The 23,563-nt window shown below is 39.2% G+C and overlaps 1 protein-coding gene across 1 annotated transcript, besides 9 other annotated features; it reads left to right on the top strand.

Moving 5' to 3' along the window:
* Nucleotides 5,211-5,810: a DNaseI hypersensitive site, noted in NCBI's record as "fetal liver-derived erythroid hypersensitive site 1 kb upstream of the HPFH-2 deletion 3' breakpoint (minus strand with respect to the GRCh38 reference genome); the nucleotide coordinates are approximate for this feature". NCBI's record gives the evidence for it as "EXISTENCE:in vivo cleavage assay evidence [ECO:0001075][PMID:1690839]".
* Nucleotides 5,211-18,523: a biological region, named in NCBI's record as "hereditary persistence of fetal hemoglobin-1 and -2 3' breakpoint enhancers". NCBI's record gives its function as "regulatory_interactions: HBG1 | HBG2".
* Nucleotides 6,500-6,501: a chromosome breakpoint, noted in NCBI's record as "HPFH-2 deletion 3' breakpoint (minus strand with respect to the GRCh38 reference genome); the deletion removes approximately 105 kb of DNA". NCBI's record gives the evidence for it as "EXISTENCE:nucleotide sequencing assay evidence [ECO:0000219][PMID:2307466]".
* Nucleotides 6,656-18,523: an enhancer, noted in NCBI's record as "12 kb BglII-HindIII HPFH-2 fragment in transgenes". NCBI's record gives its function as "enables persistent expression of the gamma-globin genes, preferably the Agamma gene, when juxtaposed downstream of those genes in adult erythroid cells of transgenic mice" and the evidence as "EXISTENCE:transgenic organism evidence [ECO:0001131][PMID:9121456]".
* Nucleotides 9,120-9,833: an enhancer, noted in NCBI's record as "0.7 kb ScaI-NruI HPFH-2 fragment in plasmid or retroviral constructs and transgenes". NCBI's record gives its function as "enables persistent expression of the gamma-globin genes in adult erythroid cells" and the evidence as "EXISTENCE:transcriptional activation assay [ECO:0000170][PMID:15944728, PMID:21875313]" and "EXISTENCE:transgenic organism evidence [ECO:0001131][PMID:12855570]".
* On the top strand, nt 10,920-18,853 carry OR52A1 (olfactory receptor family 52 subfamily A member 1). Its single transcript, NM_012375.3, has 2 exons — nt 10,920-11,230; nt 12,987-18,853. The coding sequence occupies exon 2, from the start codon at nt 13,308-13,310 to the stop codon at nt 14,244-14,246; it is 939 nt and encodes a 312-aa protein (NP_036507.2). The 5' UTR covers nt 10,920-11,230; nt 12,987-13,307; the 3' UTR covers nt 14,247-18,853.
* Nucleotides 11,757-12,156: a DNaseI hypersensitive site, noted in NCBI's record as "non-erythroid-specific hypersensitive site 0.5 kb upstream of the HPFH-1 deletion 3' breakpoint (minus strand with respect to the GRCh38 reference genome); the nucleotide coordinates are approximate for this feature". NCBI's record gives the evidence for it as "EXISTENCE:in vivo cleavage assay evidence [ECO:0001075][PMID:1690839]".
* Nucleotides 12,455-12,456: a chromosome breakpoint, noted in NCBI's record as "HPFH-1 deletion 3' breakpoint (minus strand with respect to the GRCh38 reference genome); the deletion removes approximately 105 kb of DNA and inserts 5 nts (AAATA) at this position". NCBI's record gives the evidence for it as "EXISTENCE:nucleotide sequencing assay evidence [ECO:0000219][PMID:2478223]".
* Nucleotides 13,365-13,810: a DNaseI hypersensitive site, noted in NCBI's record as "erythroid hypersensitive site 1.1-1.4 kb downstream of the HPFH-1 deletion 3' breakpoint (minus strand with respect to the GRCh38 reference genome); overlaps the HPFH-3D enhancer fragment and the OR52A1 olfactory receptor gene; the nucleotide coordinates are approximate for this feature". NCBI's record gives the evidence for it as "EXISTENCE:in vivo cleavage assay evidence [ECO:0001075][PMID:1690839]".
* Nucleotides 13,365-14,411: an enhancer, noted in NCBI's record as "1 kb BamHI-EcoRI HPFH-3D fragment in pgammaCAT constructs". NCBI's record gives its function as "activates the Ggamma-globin promoter in transfected K562 erythroleukemia cells" and the evidence as "EXISTENCE:reporter gene assay evidence [ECO:0000049][PMID:2478223]".
* Nucleotides 18,854-23,563: the final 4,710 nt, after the last annotated feature.

The raw sequence follows: 23,563 nt of genomic DNA, 5'->3' as shown, positions 1-23,563 counted from the left end.
CCTCCCTTGGGAGATCAATCCCCTGTCCTCCTGCTCTTTGCTCCGTGAGAAAGATCCACCTACGACCTCAGGTCCTCAAACTGACCAGCCCAAGAAACATTTCACCAATTTCAAATCCGGTAAGTGGCCTCTTTTTACTGTCTTCTCCAACCTCCCTCACTATCCCTCAACTTCTTTCTCCTTTCAATCTTGGCACCACACTTCAATTTCTCCCTTCTCTTAATTTCAATTCCTTTCATTTTCCAGTAGAGACAAAGGAGACATGTTTTATCCGTGGACCCAAAACTCCGGTGCCAGTCACGGACTGGGAAGGCAGCCTTCCCTTGGTGTTTAATCATTGCAGGGACACCTCTCTGATTATTAAACCATGTTTCAGAGGTGTCAGACCACGCAGGGATGCCTGCCTTGGTCCTTCACCCTTAGCGGCAAATCCCACTTTTCTGGAGGGGGGTAAGTACCCCAACCCCTTCTCTCCATGTCTCTGCCCCTTCACTGCTTTTCTGGGGGCAAGAACCCCAATCCCTTATTTCTGTGCCCCAACCTCTTATCTCAGCACCCCATCCCTTATTTCCACGCCCCATCCTCTTATCTCTGCACCCCAATCCCTTATTTCTGCACCCCGACCTCTTATCTCTGCACCCTGATCCCTTATTTCTGCACCCCAACCTCTTATCTCTGCACCCCGATCCCTTATTTCTGTGCCCCAACCTCTTATCTCTGCACCCCAACCCCTTATTTCTGTGCCCTGACCTCTTATCTCTGCACCCCAACCCCTTATTTCCGTGCCCCAACCCCTTGCCCATTTTTCTGGTGAGTAAGAACCCCCGAACCCCTTCCCTCCGTGTCTGTACTCTTTCTTTTCTCTGGGCTTGCCTCCTTCACTAGGGGCAACCTTCCACCCTCCATTCCTCCCTCTCCCTTAGCCTGTGCTCTCAAGAACTTAAAACCTCTTCAACTCACACCTGACCTAAAACCTAAATGCCTTATTTTCTTCTGCAAGGCCGCTTGACTCCAATACAAACTCGACAGTGGTTCCAAATAGCCAGAAAATGGCACTTTCAATTTTTCCATTCTTCAAGATCTAAATAATTTTTGTCGTAAAACAGGCAAACAGTCTGAGGTGCCTGACGTCCAGGCATTCTTTTACACATTGGTCCCTCCCTAGTCTCTTCCCAATGCAACTTGTCCCAAATCTTCCTTCTTTCCCTCCCGCCTGTCCCCTCAGTCCCAACTCCAAGCGTCGCTGAGTCTTTCTAATCTTCCTTTTCTACAGACCCATCTGACGTCTCCCCTCCTCCCCAGGCTGCTCCTTGCCAGGCCGAGCTAGGTCCCAAATCTTCCTCAGCCTCAGCTCCTCCACCCTGTAATCTTTTTATCACCTCCCCTCCTCACACCCGGTCCGGTTTACAGTTTCATTCCGTGACTAGCCCTCCCCAACCTGCCCAGCAATTTCCTATTAAGAAGGTGGCTGAAGCTAAAGGCGTAGTCAAGGTTAATGCTCCTTTTTCTTTATCCGACCTCTCCCGAATCAGAGCGTTTAGGCTCTTTCATCAAATATGAAAAACCCAGCCCAGTTCATGGCTCGTTCGGCAGCAACCCTGAGACGCTTTACAGCCCTAGACCCTAAAAGGACAAAAGGCCACTTTATTCTCAATATACATTTTATTACCCAATCTGCTCCTGACATTAAATAAAACTCCAAAAATTAAATTCTGGACCTCAAACCCCACAACAGGACTCAATTAACCTCACCTTCAAGGTGTACAATAATAGAGTAGAGGCAGCCAAGTAGCAACATATTTTTGAGTTGCAATTCCTTGCCTCCACTGTGAGACAAACCCCAGCCACATCTCCAGCACACAAGAACTTCCAAATGCCTAAACCGCAGTGGCCAGGCGTTCCTCCGGAACCACCTCCCCCAGGAGCTTGCTACAAGTGCCAGAAATCTGGCCACCAGGCCAAGGAATGCCCGCAGCCCAGGATTCCTCCTAAGCCGTGTCCCATCTGTGCAGGACCCCACTAGAAATCGGACTGTTCAACTCACCTGGCAGCCACTCCTAGAGCCCCTGGAACTCTGGCCCAAGGCTCCCTGACTGACTCCTTCCCAGATCTTCTCGGCTTTGCAGCTGAAGACTGCCACTGCCTGATCGCCTCGGAAGCCCTGTAGACCATCACAGACACCGAGCTTTAGGTAATTCTCACAGTGGAGGGTAAGTCTGTACCCTTCTTAATCAGTATGGAGGCTACCCACTCCACATTACCTTCTTTTCAAAGGCCTGTTTCCCTTGCCTCCATAACTGTTGTAGGTATTGATGGCCAGGCTTCTAAACCTCTTAAAATTCCCCAACTCTGGTGCTAACCGAGACGATACTCTTTTAAGCACTCCTTTTTCATTATCCCCACCTGCCAGTTCCCTTATTAGGCCGAGACACTTTAACTAAATTATCTGCTTCCCTGACTATTCCTGGGCTACAGCCATACCTCATTGCCATGTTTTCCCCCAGTTCAAAGCCTCCTTCACATCCTCCCCTTGTATCTCCCCACCTTAATCCACAAGTATAAGACACCTCTACTTCCTCCTTCGCGACCGATCATGCGCCCCTTACCATCCCATTAAAACCTAATCACTCTTACCCCGCTCAATGCCAGTATCCCATCCCACAGCATGCTTTGAAAGGATTAAAGCCTGTTATTACTTGCCTGTTACAGCATGGCCTTTTAAAGCCTATAAACTCTCCTTACCATTCCCCCATTTTACCTGTCCTAAAACCAGACAAGCCTTACAGGTTAGTTCAGAATCTGCATCTTATCAACCAAATTGTTTTGCCTATCCACCCCATGGTGCCAAACCCATATACTCTCCTATCCTCAATACCTCCATCTATAACCCATTATTCTGTTCTGGATCTCAAACATGCTTTCTTTACTATTCCTTTGCACCCTTCATTCCAGCCTCTCTTCGCTTTCACTTGGACTGACACTGACACCCATTAGGCTCAGCAAATTACCTGGGCTGTACTGCTGCAAGGCTTCACAGACAGACCCCATTACTTCAGTCAAGCCCAAATTTCATCCTCATGTGTTACCTATCTCGGCATAATTCTCATAAAAACACACGTGCTCTCCCTGCTGATTGTGTCCGATTAATCTCCCAAACCTCAATCCCTTCTACAAAACAACAACTCCTTTCCTTCCTAGGCATAGTTAGTGCGGTCAGAATTCTTACACAAGATCCAGGACTGCACCCTGTAGCCTTTCTGTCCAAATAACTTGACCTTACTGTTTTAGCCTAGCCCTCAGGTCTGCATGCAGTGGCTGCCGCTGCTTTAATACTTTTAGAGGCCCTAAAAATCACAAACTATGCTTAGCTCACTCTTCACATTTCTCATAACTTCTAAAATCTATTTTCTTCCTCATACCTGATGCATATACTTTCTGATCCCCGGCTCCTTCAGCTGTACTCACTCTTTGTTAAGTCCCACAATTACCATTGGTCCTGGCCCGGACTTCAATCCGGCCTCCCACATTATTCCTGATACCACACCTGACCCCCATGATTGTATCTCTCTGATCCACCTGACATTCACCCCATTTCCCCATATTTCCTTCTTTCCTTCTTTCCTGTTCCTCACCCTGATCACACTTGATTTATTGATGGCCGTTCCACCAGGCCTAATAGCCACACACCAGCAAAGGCAGGCTATGCTATAGTACAAACCACTAGCCTGCCTCTTCGAACCTCTCATTTCCTTTCCATCGTAGAAATCTATCCTCAAAGAAATAACTTCTCAGTGTTCCATCTGCTATTCTGCTACTCCTCAGGGATTATTCAGGCCCCCTCCCTTCCCTACACATCAAGCTCGAGGATTTGCCCCCACCCAGGACTGGCAAATTAGATTTACTCAACATGCCCTGAGTCAGATAACTAAAATACCTCTTAGTCTAGGTAGACACTTTCACTGGATAAGTAGAGGTCTTTCCTACAGGGTCTGAGAAGGCCACCGCAGTCATTTCTTCCCTTCTGTCAGACATAATTCCTCAGTTTAGCCTTCCTACCTCTATACAGTCTGATAACAGACCAGCCTTTATTAGTCAAATCAGCCAAGCAGTTTTTCAGGCTCTTAGTATTCAGTAAAACCTTTATATCCCTTACGGTCCTCCGTCTTCAGGAAAAGTAGAACGGACTAAATGTCTTTTAAAAACACACCTCACCAAGCTCAGCCACCAACTTAAAAAGGACTGGACAATACTTTTACCACTTTTCTTTCTCAGAAGTCAGACCTGTCCTCAGAATGCTACAGGGTACAGCCCATTTGAGCTCCTGTATAGATTTGCCTTTTTATTAGGCCCCAGTCTAATTCCAGACACCAGACCAACTTAGAATGTGCCCCAAAAAAACTTGTCATCCCTGCTATCTTCTGTCTAGTCATACTCCTATTCACCATTCTCAACTACTCATACATGCCCTGCTCTTGTTTACACTGCCGGTTTACACTGTTTTTCCAAGCCATCACAGCTGATATCTCCTGGTGCTATCCCCAAACTGCCACTCTTAACTCTTGAAGTAAATAAATAATCTTTGCTGGCAGGACTATGTTGAATCTCCTTAGGCACTCTTTAATCAGATGTCCTAGGTCCTCCCACTTCTTAGTCCTTTAATACCTGTTTTTCTCCTTCTCTTATTCCATTTGGTTTTTCAATCCATACAAAACCGTATCCAGGCCATCACCAATAATTCTACATGACAAATGTTTCTTCTAACAACCCCACAATATCACCCCTTACCACAAAATCTTCCTTCAGCTTAATCTCTCCCACTCTAGGTTCCCACGCCGCCCCTAATCCCGCTCGAAGCAGCCCTGAGAAATATCGCCCATTATCTCTCCATACCATCCCCCAAAATTTTCGCTGCCCCAACACTTCAACACTATTATGTTTTATTTTTCTTATTAATATAAGAAGACAGGAATGTCAGGCCTCTGAGCCCAAGCTAAGCCATCATGTCCCCTGTGACCTGCAGGTACACATACAGATGGCCAGTTCCTGCCTTAACTGATGACATTCCACCACAAAAGAAGTGAAAATGGCCTGTTCCTGCCTTAACTGATGACATTGTCTTGTGAAAGTCCTTCTCCTGGCTCATCCTGGCTCAAAAGCTCCCCTACTGAGCACCTTGTGACCCCCCACTCCTGCCCGCCAGAGAACAACCCCCCTTTGACTGTAATTTTCCTTTACCTACCCAAATCTTATAAAACAGCCCCACTCCTATCTCCCTTTGCTGACTCTCTTTTCGGACTCAGCCCGCCTGCACCCAGGTGATAAAAAGCTTTATTGCTCACACAAAGCCTGTTTGGTAGTCTCCTCACAGGGATGCGCATGAAACTGAATAACCAATGAGTCACTAAAGAAATTAAGAAGGAAATTTTAAAACTTCTTGAAACAAGTGAAAATGGAAATACAACATACCAAAACCTACAGGATATGGCAAAAGCAGTACTTAGAGGGAAGTTCATAGCAATAAACACCTATATCCAAAAAAGTAGAAAGGCTTCAACTAAGCAACCAAACAATGTACCTCAAGGAAATAGGAAAGCAAGAACAAACCAAATGCAAAATTAATAGAAGGGGAGAAATAAGAAAGATCAGAGAAGAAACAAATGAAATTGAGACCAAAAAATACAGAAAATCATTAAAAACAAACAGTTGCTTTCTTGGAAAGGTAAACAAAATCAACAAAACTTTAAGAAAAAAGAGTCAAATAAAATTAGAAAATGAAAAAGAGGATATAACAATTGAGACCTCAGCAACACAAAGACTCATTAGATACTATTATGAACAACTGTATTCCAACAAATTGGAAAATCTAGAATAAATGGATAAATTCCTGGACACATACAGCCTAGCAAGACTGAAGCATGTAGAAACAGAAAACCTCAATAGAACAATAATGAATAACAAGATTAAAGTTGTAATATAAAGTTTCCTATTAAAGAAAAGCCCAGGACTCGATGGGCTACCAAACATTTCAAGTAGAACTAATACTAATCGTACTCAAATTCCTCAAACAAACAAACAAATAAAAACTGAAAAGAAGGGCCTACTTCTAAACTTATTCTATGAGGCAAGCATTACTCTAATATACCCAAACCAGACCAGGACACAACAACAAATGCACCTCAAAGGAGGTACAGTAGGAACATACCTCAAAATAATAAAAACCATATAGGACAAACCAAGTGCTAACATTATGCTGAACAGAGAAACATTGAAGGCCTTTCCTCTAAGGACTGAAATAAGGCAAGAATGCTCACTTTCATTGCCATTATTTAACATAATATTGGAAGTCTTGGAAAGAGAAATTCAGGAAGAGAAAGAAAGTGCATCCAAATTGGAAAGGAAGAAGTTAAATTAGCCTAGTTTGTAGATGACATGATCTTATACTTAGAAAAAACCTAAAAACTTCACTAAATACTATTAAAACGATTTAAAAAAATCAATAAAGTTACAGGATATGAAATAAAAATACAAAATCAGTAGCATTTCATATATAAAAAGTTATCAATCTGCAAAAAAAATCAATAAAACAATCTTATTTACAATAGCAATAAAAATATAAAATACCCAGGAGTCAATCTAACCCAAGAAGTAAAAGATCTCTATAAGAAAAATTATAAAACTCTGGTGAAAGAAATAGAAGAGGGCACACAAATAAAATGGAACGATATTCCATGCTCATGAACTAGAAGAATTAATATTAAAATGACAATACTACCCAAAGCAATGTACAGATTCAGTGCAATTTCTGTCAAAATACCAATGGCATTCACAGAAATAGAAAAACAATCCTAATATTTATATGGAACCACAAAAGATCCCCAATAGCTAAAGCAATCCTGAGCAAAAAGAACAAAACCAAAGCTATCACACTATATGACTTCAAAATCTACTACAAAGCTACAGTAGCCAAACAGCACAGTACTGCATAAAGACAGACATACAGCCCAATGGAACAGCATAGAGAACCCAGATGCAAATCCAGGCACTTAACAACCAAGTCATCTTTAACAAAGGCATCAAGAACATAAAAATAGGAACAAATGGGCCAGGTGCAGTGGCTCACACCTGTAATCCCAGCACTTTGTGAGGCTGAGGTGGGGGGATCACGAGGTCAGGAGTTCAAGACCAGCCTGACCAACGTGGTGACACTCCGTCTCTACTAAAAATACAAAAATTAGCCAGGCATGGTGGGGCGCTCCTGTAATCCCAGATACTCAGGAGGCTGAGGCAGGAGAATCGCTTGAACCTGGGAGGCAGAAGTTGCAGTGATCCAAGATTGTGCTGCCACTGCACTCCAGCCTGGGCAACAGTGAGACTCCATCTCAAAAAAAAAAAAAAAAAAGGTACAAACAGTCTTTTCAAGAAACAGTGCTAGGAAAACTGGATATCCATTTGCAAAAGAGTAAAATCGGACCCCTATCTCTCACTATATACAAAAATCAAATCAAGATGGATTAAAGACTTGAATCCAATACCTGAAATTATGAAACTACTGGAAGAAAACAGTGGGGAAACCCTCCAGGGCATTCATTGATTTGGGCAAATACTGTCTATGAGACTTCAAAAGCACAAATAACCAAAACAAAAATAGACAATTGGGATTGTTTGAAGCTCTGCACAGCAAAGAAAATAATAAAGTGAAGAGACAACCCAAAGAATGGGAGAAAATATTTGCAAACTATATATTTTACAAGGAATTGATAACCAGAATATGCAAGAAACTCAAGCAACTCAACAGAAAATAAATAAATAAATAAATAATGGCCAAAAGACCTGAATAGATATTTCTCAAAAGAAGCCATACAAATGGCCCAGAGGTATTTGAAAAAATGTTCAATATCACTAATCACCAGATAAATCAAAACCACAATGTGATATCATCTCACCTTAGTTAAAATAGCTTATAACAAAACAAAAGGAAATAACAGATGCTTGTGTGGATGTGGACAAAGGGAAACCCTCTTACACTGTTGGTGGGAGTACAAATTGGTACAGCAATTATGAAGGACAGTATGGAGATTTGTCAAAAATGTAAAGTAGAACTACCATATGATCCAGCAATATCACTCCTAGGTATATACCCTTAAAAGAATAAATTAGTATGTCGAAGATATATCAGTACTCCCATCTTTATTATAGCACTATTCACAAACGCCAAGATTTGAAATCAACTGATGTATTCGTCAACAGATAAATGGATAAAGAAAATAATACACACACACACACACACACACACACACAATGGAATATTATTCAACCATAAAAAAGAATGAAATATTATCAATTACAGTAACATAAATGGTACTGAAAGCAATTACGTTAAGTGAAATAAGCCAAGCACAGAAAGAAAAATATCACATGTTCTAACTCGTGTGGAAGTTAAAAACGTGGATCTTATGAAGACAGAGAGTAGATTGGTAGTTACCGGCGGCGGGAGGGAAGAAAGGAATGAGAAATCAAGCAAAAAAACCCTCCCACTCTCTCTCTCTCCCTCTGTGTGTATGTGTGCATATGTATGTATGTGTATATATATATAAAAATGTGAATATGTATGTATACATATAAATTTGTATATATATGTATGTATGTATTACCACTGAACCGTACACTCAAAAATGGTAAAGATGGGCTGGGTGCGGTGGCCAATGCCTGTAATCTCAGCACTTTGGGAGGCCAAGGCAGGTGGATCATGAGGTCAGGAGTCCAAGACCAGCCTGACCAACATGGTGAAACCCTGTCTCTACTAAAAATACAAAAAATTAGCCAGGCGTGGTGGCAGGCGCCTGTAATCCCACCTACTTGGGAGGCTTGGGCAGGAGAATCGCTTGAACCTGGTGGGGGCGGAGGTTGCAGTGAGCCAAGATCCTACCACTGCACTCCAGCCTGGATGACGGAGCGAGACTCCGTCTCAAGGAAAAAAAAAAAGTAAAGACGGTAAATTACGTATGTATATTTTACCTTAATAAAAATAAATTTAAAAAATATTCAGTAGGCCGGGTGCAGTGGCTCACGCCTGTGATCCCAGCACTTTGGGAGGCGGAGGCGGGTGGATCACGAGGTCGCGAGATCGAGACCATCCTGGCTAACACAGTGAAACCCCGTCTCTACTAAAAAAATACAAAAAATTAGCCGGGCTTGGTGGCGGGTGCCTGTAGTCCCAGCTACTATGGAGGCTGAGGCGGGAGAATGGCGTGAACGCGGGGGGCGGAGCTTGCAGTGAGCAGAGATCAGGGGCCACTGCACTCCAGCCTGGGCGACAGAGAGAGACTCTGTCTCAAAAAAAAGAAAAAAAAAATTTAGTAGACTAGCTAAAAAAATCCAGAGATAGTTATTGATGCATATGTAAAAGTCTTCCAATATTTACAAGTACAATGAAAAAAAAATAACCTTGAATTAAGTGTAGAACTCATTGACAATGTTTCAAAGGATGTGAGGGATAAACTAAAATTTGGGCAGTACATGCTGTTCCTGTGTACTTGGAACAGAGGGAGAAAATCTGGGCTGGAAATATTGTTATAGGAGTTAGCACATGAAGGTGACAACTAAATTATTTGGAGTAGATGGAGTCACCAGCACATGTGAATAGTTTTAGAATGAAATGACCCAAGATAGAACTTTGGAGAGCCCCCAAATTTAAATAAAATCAGTATAAGAGAAGAGGAAGAAACCAAATGGTATACTAGTCTAAATTGTTTCTTAGTGACAAAAGAATAACCTGAATATTAGATTAGCTGCCTATATGCTCTCTGAATCAATTTCATTCAACATGCAACAGTACTATTGTTTTATGCTCCTTCACAGAGGAAATTCTGGAAAGAGCACATGGGGTTCCTTGCCTTTTCATCTGTATTCCTTGTTCTCCTGGAAATCCATTATAAATATTCTCCACCATTAGTATGCTTCCTAAATTTGCCAATGTCTAAACATTATATCAAGTGTCTCTTAGCTACATTCAAGAAAGCCTAGAAACCAGCTGTAAAATGTCAAGGAGAATAGTGTCATATGCATAAGTCTTGCTTAGAATTTATCAGATACTTACGTGATAAATGAAATTGTAATGCATAATCCCATTTTACTAATAATTTAAAGGTAAGACTATAATTTTTTTCATTTCATTTAGAATATATAACATCTCACTCATAAATAGTAGGAATATAATGACTGTTTTTTGAAAGAAAAAGAAGGAAGGAAAGTAACAAGGAAGAAAGAGAGAAAAGAGGAAATGGATACCAGTTTACTCAAATGTTCAACAACTTGCTTCCAGCTTTACATTTGTAGGACTTAGAAATGTCCATTATAATTTGTCACTATAAGAATGTTACTTAATTTACTAAAAGATAAAAAAAACTTCAATAAAATAAAATGGGAAGAATGAGACTGAAGAAGACTGAGGAAGTAATTGTGTGGTAAAAAGTAGTTATGAATACAGATTTTTCTTTTCTGAATAAAAAGAGAAAAACCTTGCCTCAGTGAAAATGTCACCAAGATATTTATTTAAATAGGAATTGGCATAGAAACATGTTTGCATTAAATGGGCTTTAGAATTTTGCAAATAGAAATGGCAGAAAAGGAACATAGCTTGTAAAAAAATTTTTTGCATATGAATTATTCTGCATTTAGCCTGTGGGAAAAGAGAAAAAGAGAGAAAGGAGATTTCTGCAAGTGTAGAAATAATTACGGGGATATTAGGTGCCAGTGAACCCAAGAGGGCTGACTTAAAATTTGCTGGGTCCCTCGTGGTTTTGGCTATCAACTAGGAAATCCCTCATTTCATGCTCATAACTCCTCCTACTTCTCCACACATTCATAAAGGAATATTAAATTGGTGGATAGCCACTTTTTTCTCCAATTTGAGCTCAATAAATTCATCCCGTGTTTCAGAATGCTACAGACCTCACTATGAGTTTTACTGGGGGATGAGCACACAAAGATGGTCTGAGACAGACTTCCAGAAGAAGAAGAAGATGTCCGTGTTAGAGATAAATGAAAAGTGTAAAAAGTCATCTGCAAAATGTCCACAGTATATTATATTGGCACATATCCTGGCACCAAACAGAGTAAAATTTATGACATTAGCTGGATGCTGTTACACAGAGTGCAGACAGAAAGTAGAGCCATCACAGAACCCACAACTTAAGGGAATGAAGCTGGAATCCTTGGAGAAGAAAAATTGGTGAGTGATGAATGAAAGTGTTATGAAAAATGGACAATATTCTTCAGGTATCTGGTAAGAGCAAAACCAGCTCTCAATAATAATTGAGGAGTAAGTCTCACGATTCCAAGTTTCCTCTCCATAATTTAATTACCAGCTTCTCCAATAACAATCACTCTATCCAACTAACCAGGAACTTACATACACCACCACCTGCAACCCTGCTATCTGTGCCTGTCAGGTAGTACTCACATGTCAGCTCTTTGGTCTTGAATAAGTCAGACATTGTGATTGCCATTAAAGGATTCTTATTCTAATTGTGATTATCTTTGGAGAAGAAAAAATTTGCCCCTATTAGAAAAAGCCAGTGACTTATGGATGGGAGTGTCATAAAACTAAGCATTGGGGATCAAATCTGTGGAAATCAAAGTATTTAATTGACCTACTAGTTTACGGTAAATGTATGTTAGCTGATACAGCCTCCCTGTCATGAAATGTCCTCTGCTGATTTGGTTCTTTCATTTGAAGTTTAGCAGCAGTTGAACATTTGTTGTTGAATATTTGAGTAAACTTGTATCCATTTCCTCTTTTCTCTTTCTTCCTTGTTACTTACCTTCCTTTTCTTTCAAAAAAAAAAAAAAAAAAAAAGCTGCTTTTTCTTTCAAAGAACAGCTACTTCCTGAATTTCCAGCATATTGGTGACATGAAGCATACGGTTAGCTGATTCATGAGCTTACTGAGATAAAACAACTTTATTGAAGTGTCTAGGAAAGAATGAAGTAACTTTACTTTTCACTGTATCACAAACATTTCTCTAATGTATAGCTTAAAATGTACTGATTCAAAATATGTAATTTTTAGAAAATAACTATTTTGATCAGAGAACTTTTATATAAAGCATAAGAGCCCAGGTTTTTCAGAAAATTCAATCATCAGTGAAATTGAAAAGTGACTAAATTTTCTTTGGTTATTCATAGTGCTTTCCTCAATTTTAGTCTCCCCAAGTTTGTCCTGTCTTCCCTGTCTAGTTCTACATTTGACTTCTTCTAAGAAATCTGTCCTTTAGCTTTTTTATTTTTACTAATTTCTTATGTCAGAGCTCACAAAATTATATAAGCATCTCACCTATATTTCATTAAGAACTAATGAGCCTTTATTGGGCTATATTATGCTAATTATAACTCTGAACATTTTAAAACCAGGAAACTGGACTCTATTCTGGCTAAATGATTCATTTGCCCATTATTCAGTATCTGTGGTTTATCAGGAGCAAGTTCTCTTGCCGTAGGCATTGCTGCTGCTCATCTTGTCCCTTAGCAGTTCCTTCTCTCTAGATATTCCATAAAGTGTATTAAAATTTTAAACTCACAACATTTCAAGAGTTTCAGCTGTTTAAAATATATAGGAAAAAATATAATTCCCTTTAACTTTAAAGAAATATAAAAAGCAACCAGGAGCTTTGGCTCAGATTTGTCAAAAGTATAAAGATTTCAATTATTTCTAAAGCATTCTCTTTACATTATTCTGAATATAAAAAGAAATATATTATGTTCTTGGGTGTCAATTATTTCTACCTCTATTCTCTTTCATTGGGAATCTTTTACACCAATGTACTGGTCAGAGTCTGTTAATTTGCTTGTCTAAAATGTTCTTAAAGAAAATTGGAAATAGTTAAATACTAGAGGAATAGCTGAAATGTGAAATATGGAGAGGTTTATTAACCAAATTAAAATGCAATGTCCAATAAAAATAAACTTCTTTTTTTTTTTGTCCACAGGTCTGGAAAGAAATAACAGACTGGCCAGTAGTCCAATCCCCTGTCCAGGTGATTTTGCTGGTTCTAATGTATTTGGATTGCCATGCACATAACATCCTATTATGGCACAGTGCCTGTGAATGCCCCACCTGAAAACAGTGATGTATCTCCATGAATCCATCTTTTCCTTTCAAAACTGTGAATAAGATGGATGATTTTAGAGTTATACCCAAATCAGACAGACTCAATATAATGAGTTTGGAGAAAATCAGAAAGCAGAAGAGGAACAGTAACACTGACTGAGAAACTTCTTTTGTTTGCATCAGGAGACCCAACGACACTATGTCCATTTCCAACATCACAGTCTACATGCCCTCTGTGTTGACACTAGTAGGGATCCCAGGCCTAGAATCTGTGCAGTGCTGGATTGGGATTCCATTCTGTGCCATTTATCTCATTGCTATGATTGGAAATTCCTTGCTTCTGAGCATCATCAAATCTGAGCGCAGTCTCCATGAGCCCTTGTACATTTTCTTAGGCATGCTAGGAGCCACAGACATTGCACTTGCTAGCAGCATTATGCCAAAGATGCTTGGAATATTCTGGTTTAATGTGCCTGAAATCTATTTTGATTCCTGCTTGCTTCAAATGTGGTTCATCCACACATTGCAGGGTATAGAGTCAGGCATCCTTGTGGCCATGGCCCTGGACCGTTATGTGGCCATCTGTTATCCACTAAGACATGCCAACATCTTCACCCACCAGCTTGTCATTCAGATAGGAACTATGGTCGTACTCAGGGCTGCTATTCTTGTAGCCCCATGCCTAGTACTGATAAAGTGCCGGTTTCAATTTTATCACACAACAGTCATCTCCCACTCCTACTGTGAGCATATGGCCATTGTGAAACTAGCAGCAGCAAATGTTCAAGTCAACAAAATCTATGGTTTGTTTGTGGCCTTCACTGTAGCAGGATTTGACCTCACATTCATCACATTGTCCTACATCCAGATATTTATCACAGTTTTTCGTTTGCCCCAGAAGGAGGCTAGGTTTAAAGCATTCAATACCTGCATTGCTCACATCTGTGTCTTCCTCCAGTTCTACCTCCTTGCCTTCTTCTCCTTCTTCACACATAGGTTTGGGTCTCACATCTCCCCTTATATCCATATTCTCTTTTCTAGCATTTACTTGCTGGTCCCTCCATTTCTCAATCCACTTGTCTATGGTGCAAAGACCACACAGATTCGCATTCATGTGGTAAAAATGTTCTGTTCATAAAATCCACCTTAATTAATGCCTACATGCTTTTTTCTTTTGCAGTAGTAACCATATCAAAACAAAACAAAAAACATATTATTTGAGATGCTGGGTTTGTGAAATCTGCCAGCACAATAGCTGGTTTTAGATCATCATGGCTCATATCAATCAGTGGGATTGTGAATTCTACGTGACTAATGAAAGTGAGAAGTGTGAAATGAGTGAAGTAGTGAATATATATTATTTTTTCTCTTTTATTCTTTAGCCCCTGGTTGAGTTATTCTTCTAAGAATATTTCTCCAGGAGGATTTATAAATTATGCCTTTGTCACTGAATTTAAATGCACCTAAGGCTCGTTGTTCTGAAACATCCAGGGACTCAATGAAAACAAGTTGTTGACTCTCATTTTCTTGATCATCCCTGCCTTAAAAAAAAAAATCAAAGGAAGTACATGTTAACTGTGTTCTTGTCAAAGAAAATCTTATGAATATCAAGAGACAATAAAGCCTAAAAATTTAAATACATTTTCAGAGTCATACAAGGAATTACAGGCACAAAAATTAGAACCAGGTGTTGCATTTGACACATCAATGTTGTTGTTTTTTTTTTTGCTAACCTCAAAATTTACTTCTTTATTAATTCATCATTTTATCAAAAACCTGCAATATTAAAAATACTATACTACAGAATCGTGACATAATAGTAAATCTGGCACAGTGAATAATTCTCATGAGTTTGTACCTATGTAATTCTGGAAAAGAGAGACTGAAAGGAAGAGAGGTGGGGAATGGGCAGGCAAGGGAAAGAAGAGAGAAATAACAAGTGTACACATAGGATGTGGAGTTCAGAGAGAATGAAGCATTGAAATCTAACCAAAGCAGGGGAGTTGCATTTATTGTATTTTGTTTTTTGGTTAGGTAGTTACCTCTGATTCTTGAGGAATGATGGATGAGTAGCCAAGGAAGTAAGAACACATCATGCCAGGTAGATAGTAGAGGAGATTTAAACTAGATAATGTAGTTTAAGGTAACTCTAGTTTTTTCAATATGGTATGAGTGCAAGGTAGAACTTGGGGAGACAAGGAAAATATGAATATCAAAAATGGCTATTAATGTTGTGCAGAGTTGCTGGACTTTATTCCAAAAGCTATAATGTGCCATTGGAGAGTATTCATTTGTTTGCTTGTGTTCTACAAGTAAGACGTGTGTGTGTGTGTGTGTGTGTGTGTGTGTGTGTGTCTGCTTGGGCATGTGGCAGCATACCACACAGCAAATATAAATAAGTCTAGGGCTATTGTGTTAGTGAAGAGGAGGACTATATTGTCTAAAATTAGTGGCATAAGAATTTACGGCTAGTCAATTGTTCTTGAAAAACCTCAGGTCATAGATCATTTTTTTCAAGGTTATGGAAAATATTCACATATGGGCAGATGTCCATACTTTGATTTACCAGATTAAAACCACTGCAAATATAAGAAATATTGGATTGCTTGTCATACACCCACCTGGTGGATCCTCTGGCTTCACGGATTAGGACTTAGCAGATATCCATGGCTGTTGAGAATGATTATAGAGGCTATCTTAAGGGATCTTTTGAGACTGTTTCAAGTTTCAATATCTACTAGAGCTAATTTTATTGGATTACCAATAGGGATGGTTTTTCTTAAGTAACATAATTTTCTCAAAAATAAAATAGCCTCTGATGTTATTTCTTAATATTTTAGCCAGAATTCAGCAAACTTTTACATAAATGGCCAAATAATATATAGCTAAGGCTTTATGGAAAAAGAGGCAAATTCAAGAATATCATGTAGGCATTAATATAACAAGATAGAAAAATGTATGTCCACAAATAATTTTTATGAAATTCAAACAATATTAACAATAATAATTGCATTGTCTTTAATTAAAGAAGGTCTACTAATTAAAATAATAGAATCCATTTTTTTTTTCTACAGAGTAACAAAGTGTAGCTGAAAGTTAGAGTTTCCCCATCACCAAATTGATTACAAATATTCATCTGTAAAAATCATTCTTAACTAGTGGACTATAGAAAACAGGAAGTAGGCCAGGTTTGGGATGTTTAACAATGACCACTTTAAGCAGCACCACCAAAAATATGTGGTAATATAGGTCCAACAAAGAGACACAATGTGAAACTACAACATATTTGCACCATCTCCGAATTTTAATATCTCATAAAATATGTAGTCCAGAGTTCATATTGTTTAATTACTGTAGTCTTCAAATTTCAGGATCAGTCCCAAGCTGAGACTTACTAATAGAAAACAGAAGAAACAAATAGGTCATTACAAGGAAAAGAGGATAACCAGGACCCTCTAACCTCCCACACACTTGGACGGGGACAATTATTGAAAAAAAATCTTTAACATAAAATTGCTTGAAAGATAATAATATTTTTTGTAAGGATAATTTTCAAGAAAGGTTTCTAGAAATCATAAAATTAACTTCCAGGAGATTACATCAATTTCAACAATGACTAAAATAATGTTTGCCTAAATTCTTAACAACACTAGTTATTACCGATATTTACCTTTGACAGTTTGATAGGTGAAATATGATTCCCTTTATAATTAGCATTTAACAAAGAAATATTTGTGCTGCTATCTTCTTTTCCGTTTGTACATTCTTTATGTGAAGTACTTCATTGTTTCCTTTGTTCATTTTTCTAATTTGTGTCCATTTATTTTCTTCTTGAGTTTAAAATTTGATGAGTAAATATTGAATTATTTCCAAGGGCTTTATTGCTCAGGACTTTACCAGAGGATTTCCAATAGGCTATTGGCATTTTCTAGTAGAAGTGACTTCAGGCATAAAGAAGAAAAGAAAAAGTAAAAAGTCTTAACATTGGAGACCTTTGACCTATTAGGAGCAGAACGCTTGGTGAAAAAAAAAAAATGCTTTCAGGCCGGGTGCGGTGGCTCACGCCTGTAATCCCAGCACTTTGGGAGACGGAGGTGGGTGGATCATGAGGTCAGGAGTTCAAGACCAGCCTGGCCAAGATGGTGAAACCCCATCTCTACCAAAAATACAAAAAATTAGATGGGCGTGTTGGGGGGGTGCCTGTAATCCCAGCTACTCGGGAGGCTGAGGCAGGAGAATTGCTTGAACTCGGAGGGCGGAGGTTGCGGTGACCCGAGATGGTGCCACTGCACTCCAGCCTGGGTGACATAGTGAGACACCGTCTCAAAAAAAAAAAAAAAAGATTTCAGGAACTGAACCTTCTAGCTTTTTGCAGCCCTTCATTTAAATGTTCAATTTGGGAAAAATAACTTACAACATTTGGCTCATTTCCACCCTTCTTGGTAGAGAACTGTCCTTTGGCAACAAGCCTTCTATGCTGATATTCCTAAGCGGTCTCCATTTCAATGTGAGAATACATCAATATTACCCTCAATTTATTGTTAAATGGACGACCTTTTGAGATTTGGTTAGCAGGCCTATTTGGCTTTAATACTAAGCTGTATGCCTGTATTTAAACAGTATTAAAAATGCAAGTGATTCCTAGCTACTCCTGAGGCTAAGGCAGGAGAATCGCTTGAACCCGGGAGGCAGAAGTTGCGGTGAGTCGAGATGTCTCCACTGCACTCCAGCCTGGGCGACAGAGCAAGACTCTGTCTCCGAAAAAAAAAAAAAAATACAGGTAATATTTTGTCCTACCACATCTATTTATAATTTCTAAAATTGCTCAGAATTTGTATTAATAAGGATTCTTCACAGTACAAAACCAATAGGTTATGCATACATATATGTATATACACATATATGCAGATATGTATACCTATACATATATATCTGTATCTATGTATCTATATGAGATAGATTAATTTTAAGAACCTGACTCACACAGTTATGAAGGCTGGCAAATCCAAAATCTGCAGGGAGAGCCTATAGGCTGGAGACTCAGGGAAGAGCCAGTGTTGTAATTTAAGTCCAAAGGCAGTCTCCTGGCAGAATTCTCTCTTGATTGGGGCAAGTCAGTCTTTTGTTCTATCCAGGCCTTCAACTGCTTGGAAGGCACATTATAAAGGTCAATATGCTTTACTCAAAGTTTATTAATTTAAATGCCAGTCTCATCCAGAAATACCCACACAGAAACATCCAGAATAATATCTGACCAGAATCTGGGCATTGTGCCCCAATCAAATTGACACATACAACTATTCAGTGTGAAAAAACCAAGGCAGAGAGCAGGTAAGTACAGCACCTCCCCACACCAGAGACTCAACATCATGGTTTACAAGTTACTAAAGAATAATATTGGGACAAAATAAAGCTTGTAGGAATTCATCCACGTTCAACCATTGATGTGCTGATCTCAGTGTTGTAAAGATATCAATTCTCCTTAAATTTAATCTAGAAATGTAGAGTAATCTTAAGCAGAATGCTGTCAGACTTTTCTGGCATAAGTGCAAATGCTTTAAAAAAATATTTAATTAAAGAAGTAAAAACTGAAAGTGAAATGTATGATAGAGTTCTGATAAATACCTCTGCCCTATATTCTAAGATTTCAGATTTAGATGATGACTCTCTAAAGAGTCGAGGATGGGAACAGAGGACAGTAACTGTGGTCGCCTCCATGCAAGGTCTGAGACTAACATACACAATGACAATTGCACAACCTTTATTTGTAGTGAACACAACTTTTTAACATGAAAAATCCTAAGGAATATACAAATACAACAGATATCATGAATTAGTAAGTGAATTTAGCAAGTTTTAATGTAGGAAGTCTATGTAAAAATTGTTTGTAAATCTACATACTGGAATCCAGTAATTAGAAAATAACAATAGTTTGCCATAAAGTGTAAAAACATAAGATACATAATTTATATTTATGCATACAATAAAATACAAGAATTTTACACTGATAATTACAAGACATTGTTGAAAGAAAGGCAAAATCTAAAGAAATAGAGAGCTGTTCCATATTCATGGATTGGAAATCTCATTATTGTTAAAATGTTAATTTCCTTAAAGTCATCTAAAGATTCAAAGCAATCCCAAATATAATCATAACAACCTTTTGTTTGCCATGAATTGAGAAGGTAATTTTATATTTTACATGGGAATTCAAAGGACCTACAGCCAAAGCAATCTCAAAGAATAAATGTTGATTACTGAGAATACCTGACATCAAGACTTACTACAAAATTCTAATAATAAAGACAGTGTGATATCAGCATGAGAACAGCTAATGAAACACAACAGAGAGCCTGTAAGTAAGCCCACATTTGTACAATCCATTGATTTTATACAAAAGTATCAAAGCAATTCAATGGAAAATAGAAAGCCTTTTAAACAAAATTAGATATTCATATATATCTATATATATTTTACAAATATATATATGTTCAATCTAAAAATTTATTTAATACCACACAAAATATAGGATGTATATTTATGGGATAATATAGAAGTGAAAAATAAGGCTTCTAGGAAGAAAAAATCAGAATACCTTAATATATTGAGGATTGGCAAAGATTTCCTTCTTACGACACAGGAAGCAACAAGATATAACCTTATCAACAATTTCGACTACAGCAAAAGTATACTGCTAAGAAAATTAACAAGCAATAAACAGACTAAAATCATGCAAAAAAACTTAAATCTGAATTATATAAGTATTTTTTAAATTTTATATAAATAACTCATAACTCCATGTAAAAGACAAAAATGTGCAAAACATTTTACTAGACACTTCATAAATAAACTAATAAGCTATGCAAAAGTATGGATCATAATTTAGAAAAAAACTTTTTAGTGAGTAAAACTGATTAGTTCATATTTTAGTATTTATATGATGTTCTAGTGTGTCTGGAATTGGTGGGTTCTTGGTCTCACTGACTTCAAGAATAAAGTCGCGGACCCTCGCCGTGAGTGTTACAGTTCTTAAAGGCAGCGTGTCCGGAGTTTGTTCCTTCTGATGTTCAGATGTGTTCGGAGTTTCTTCCTTCTGGTGGGTTCGTGGTCTTGCTGGCTCAGGAGTGAAACTGCAGACCTTCACAGTGAGTGTTACAGCTCTTGAGGTGGCGCGTCTGGAGTTGTTCGTTTCTCCCGGTGGGTTCGGGTCCGGCTGGCTTCAGGAGTGAAGCTGCAGACCTTCGCGGTGTTACAGCTCATAAAGGCAGTGTGCACCCAAAGAGTGAGCAGGAGCAAGATTTATTGCAAAGAGAGAAAGAACAAAGCTACCACGAGCTTGCCACTGCTGGCTCGGGCAGCCTGCTTTTATTTGCTTATCTGGCCCCACCCACATTCCTGCTGACTGGTAGAACCGAGTGGTCTGTTTTGACAGGGCGCTGATTGGTGCATTTACAATCCCTGAGCTAGACACAAAGGTTCTCCACCTCCCCACCAGATTTGGTAGATACAGAGTGTCCACACAAAGGGTCTCCAAGTCCCTACCAGAGTAGCTAGATACAGAGTGTGGACTGTTGCATTCAGAAACCCTGAGCTAGACACAGGGTGCTGATTGGTGTGTTTACAAATCTTGAGCTAGATACAGAGTGCCGATTGGTGTATTTACAATCCCTGAGCTAGACATAAAGGTTCTCCACGTCCCCACCAGACTCAGGAGCCCAGCTGGCTTCACCCAGTGGATCCCACACCGGGGCTGCAGGTGGAGCTGCCTGCCAGTCCCACGCCCTGCGCCCGCACTCCTCAGCCCTTGGGTGGTCGATGGGACTGGGCGCCCTGGAGCAGGGGGCGGCGCTCGTCGGGGAGGCTCCGGCCGCACAGGAGCCCAAGGGGTGGTGGGGGAGGCTCAGGCATGGCGGGCTGCAGGTCCCGAGCCCTGCCCCGCGGGAAGGCAGCTAAGGCCCGGCGAGAAATTGAGCACAGCAGCTGCTGGCCCAGGTGCTAAGCCCCTCACTGCCCAGGTGCTAAGCCCCTCACTGCCCAGGGCCGGTGGGGCCGGCCGGCTGCTCCGAGTGCGGGGTCCGCCGAGCCCACGCCCACCCGGAACTCGCGCTGGTCAGCAAGCGCTGGGCGCAGCCCTGGTTCCCGCCCACGCCTCTCCCTCCACACCTCCCTGTAAGCTGAGGGAGCTGGCTCCGGCCTTGGCCAGCCCAGAAAGGGGCTCCCACAGTGCAGTGGCGGGCTGAAGGGCTCCTCAAGTGGGGCCAAAGTGGGAGCCCAGGCAGAGGAGGCGCCGAGAGCAAGCCAGGGCTGTGAGGACCGCCAGCACGCTGTCACCTCTCACTAGGACAGGTAAAATTAATTGAAAGTAATTTTTTTTTTTAAACAACAATGCTTTCCCCTGAAAAAGTAGGAATGGTCATGTTGGGAAAACTTTCTGGAGTGCAGGAAATATTTTATATCTTGATAGGATAATGAGTAACGTATTTGCAAAAAATAAGCTTAAGATCAATTTATTTTACTGTCTTTTCTTAGTAACAAAAGAGTAGTATAAACAAACACCAAACAGCTATTACATTTGCTTTTCATAGTAATATTGGCTAGCCATATGGGAGTTATTTACTGGGTATTCTAGGCTTGAAGAAATGAGAAAAACTGTTGAGGATAATGGAGGATAATTTTTATACTTGTGAAGAAAATAATTACTTGTAAGTAAAGTATTGAGACTAGAAAGAATCTTGAAGGTTTGGATTCCAATTGCAATTGCAAGTATGGATTCATTGTTTTTAATAAAGAGAGATACAAACATATGCAAATGTAATTATATAATTGTGTGTGTGTGTGTGCATGTATTTCCTCTGTTCACTTATAGGAACCAAAAGCAATGAACAAACAATGGCAATGAATAAACAATCCTTGTTTCAAGATACTGATTTTCTTAATAACTTTGTTCACAGAAAGAGACCAGGGCTTTTCGGAAAAATATCTGTTTCTGTGGCTTGAGCTGAAAAAGCATAAAGTAATTTGAAATGATGATGCAGAGATAGAAAGTAAGGAAGTACTCAAAGCATGATTGGAACATGTGGAAAGGACCCAAGATCTGGTTGGAAGGAGCTCCTTATGGCAAAATTTAGAAAATTTTGAGCATCAAAATAAATAATTATGGCAAAGGATTATAGCCCATTGAATAAAATCAGATTCTGTGAATCTATACAAACATAAGTAAAGCAATACAAATTTGGGAAAAGGGAATGTTCTTCTTTACAGTGTAATGCCAATAAATAAATAGGAAAGGTATGATGGATTTAAAAATTCATAAACAGAATAAAAAAACTCATGAGTGAAAGTGTTCAGAGGAGTGGACTATTTAAATCGTCTCAATAAATATATTTTTTCACAGATTTCTATGAAATACAAAGAGAAAAATAGCAACTTACCAAGAATCCAGAGTGACATCCCATTAACCAAGTGACTGAAACTAACCACATTAATATTAGAACATATCAGCATCATGTGATTAATGATATGGTGAACAGAGAAAGGCTATATTATTCTGCGATATTAAAAACAAACAAGCAAAACAGCATAGCCTGAATCCTAGTCATGAGGAAACACCAAAGAAACTTAAAATGATGGAAATTCTAAATAGTAAATGGATGTTCCTCAAAAATTCCACTATCAAGAAAGCGAAAGAAAAAAATTAAGAGGGAGGCAGTTTGGGGCTCTATAGAAAGAAGACCTCGTTGACTCTGGAAGCTGTCCTGCGATGTGGCACACTATCTCAGAAAAAAAACAAAAAAGAGAGGGAGAGAGTTTTCTGTCATGGGAAGGTTTCAGGCAGAGATCAAATGGTAACTTTAAAGATGATATAAAGGGATGAGATTTCTGATATTGTAGATAGTGTGGATTAACTCTAGGAGGGAGTGTAAATCTAGACTCCTAAATCCCTTAGTAGTTTTAGATCCTTGGAATTAGCTTGTATCAAAACTGGAGTGGTAGTTATTCAGGGTTTATTCACAGATCCAAGATATGAAAGAAAAGCTGAGGAGGTTTTGAAAATTCAAGAAGTCTAAAGAGACACGAAAATTAACTGCACTAGGTATTCCTGGATTGAATTCTGAAAAAAGAAAATATAGCTATAGATGTCATTGTTGAGACTATTGTCTAGCTTTAAACATGGACTTTATATTAGGTTATAATTTTATTTCAATGCTAACTGTCCTCATCTTGGTTATAATACCATAGTTATACAATGTAATGTCTTTTCCTTAGGAAATACAAACTTTAAAATTTAGATATAAAGGGTAACCATGTCTTCAATTTATTTGTAAACCATTCAGAAAAAAAAAATACTCCTTTTGCCTACCTACTGAACTAGTGATAAAGTACAATGGGGCAAAATATGAACAATTTGTGATAATGGGTACATGTGAATCTTTGTATACATGTTATAAGGGGAGC

Source organism: Homo sapiens, chromosome 11 (assembly GCF_000001405.40).
Source record: "Homo sapiens chromosome 11, GRCh38.p14 Primary Assembly".
Taxonomy (NCBI): Eukaryota; Metazoa; Chordata; class Mammalia; order Primates; family Hominidae; genus Homo; species Homo sapiens.
This window is presented reverse-complemented; position numbering and strand designations above follow the sequence as displayed.

Bases quoted from the DNA above. Each gene is read 5' to 3' on its own strand.
- OR52A1 (NM_012375.3), top strand. From the start codon at position 13,308: ATGTCCATTTCCAACATCACAGTCTACATGCCCTCTGTGTTGACACTA.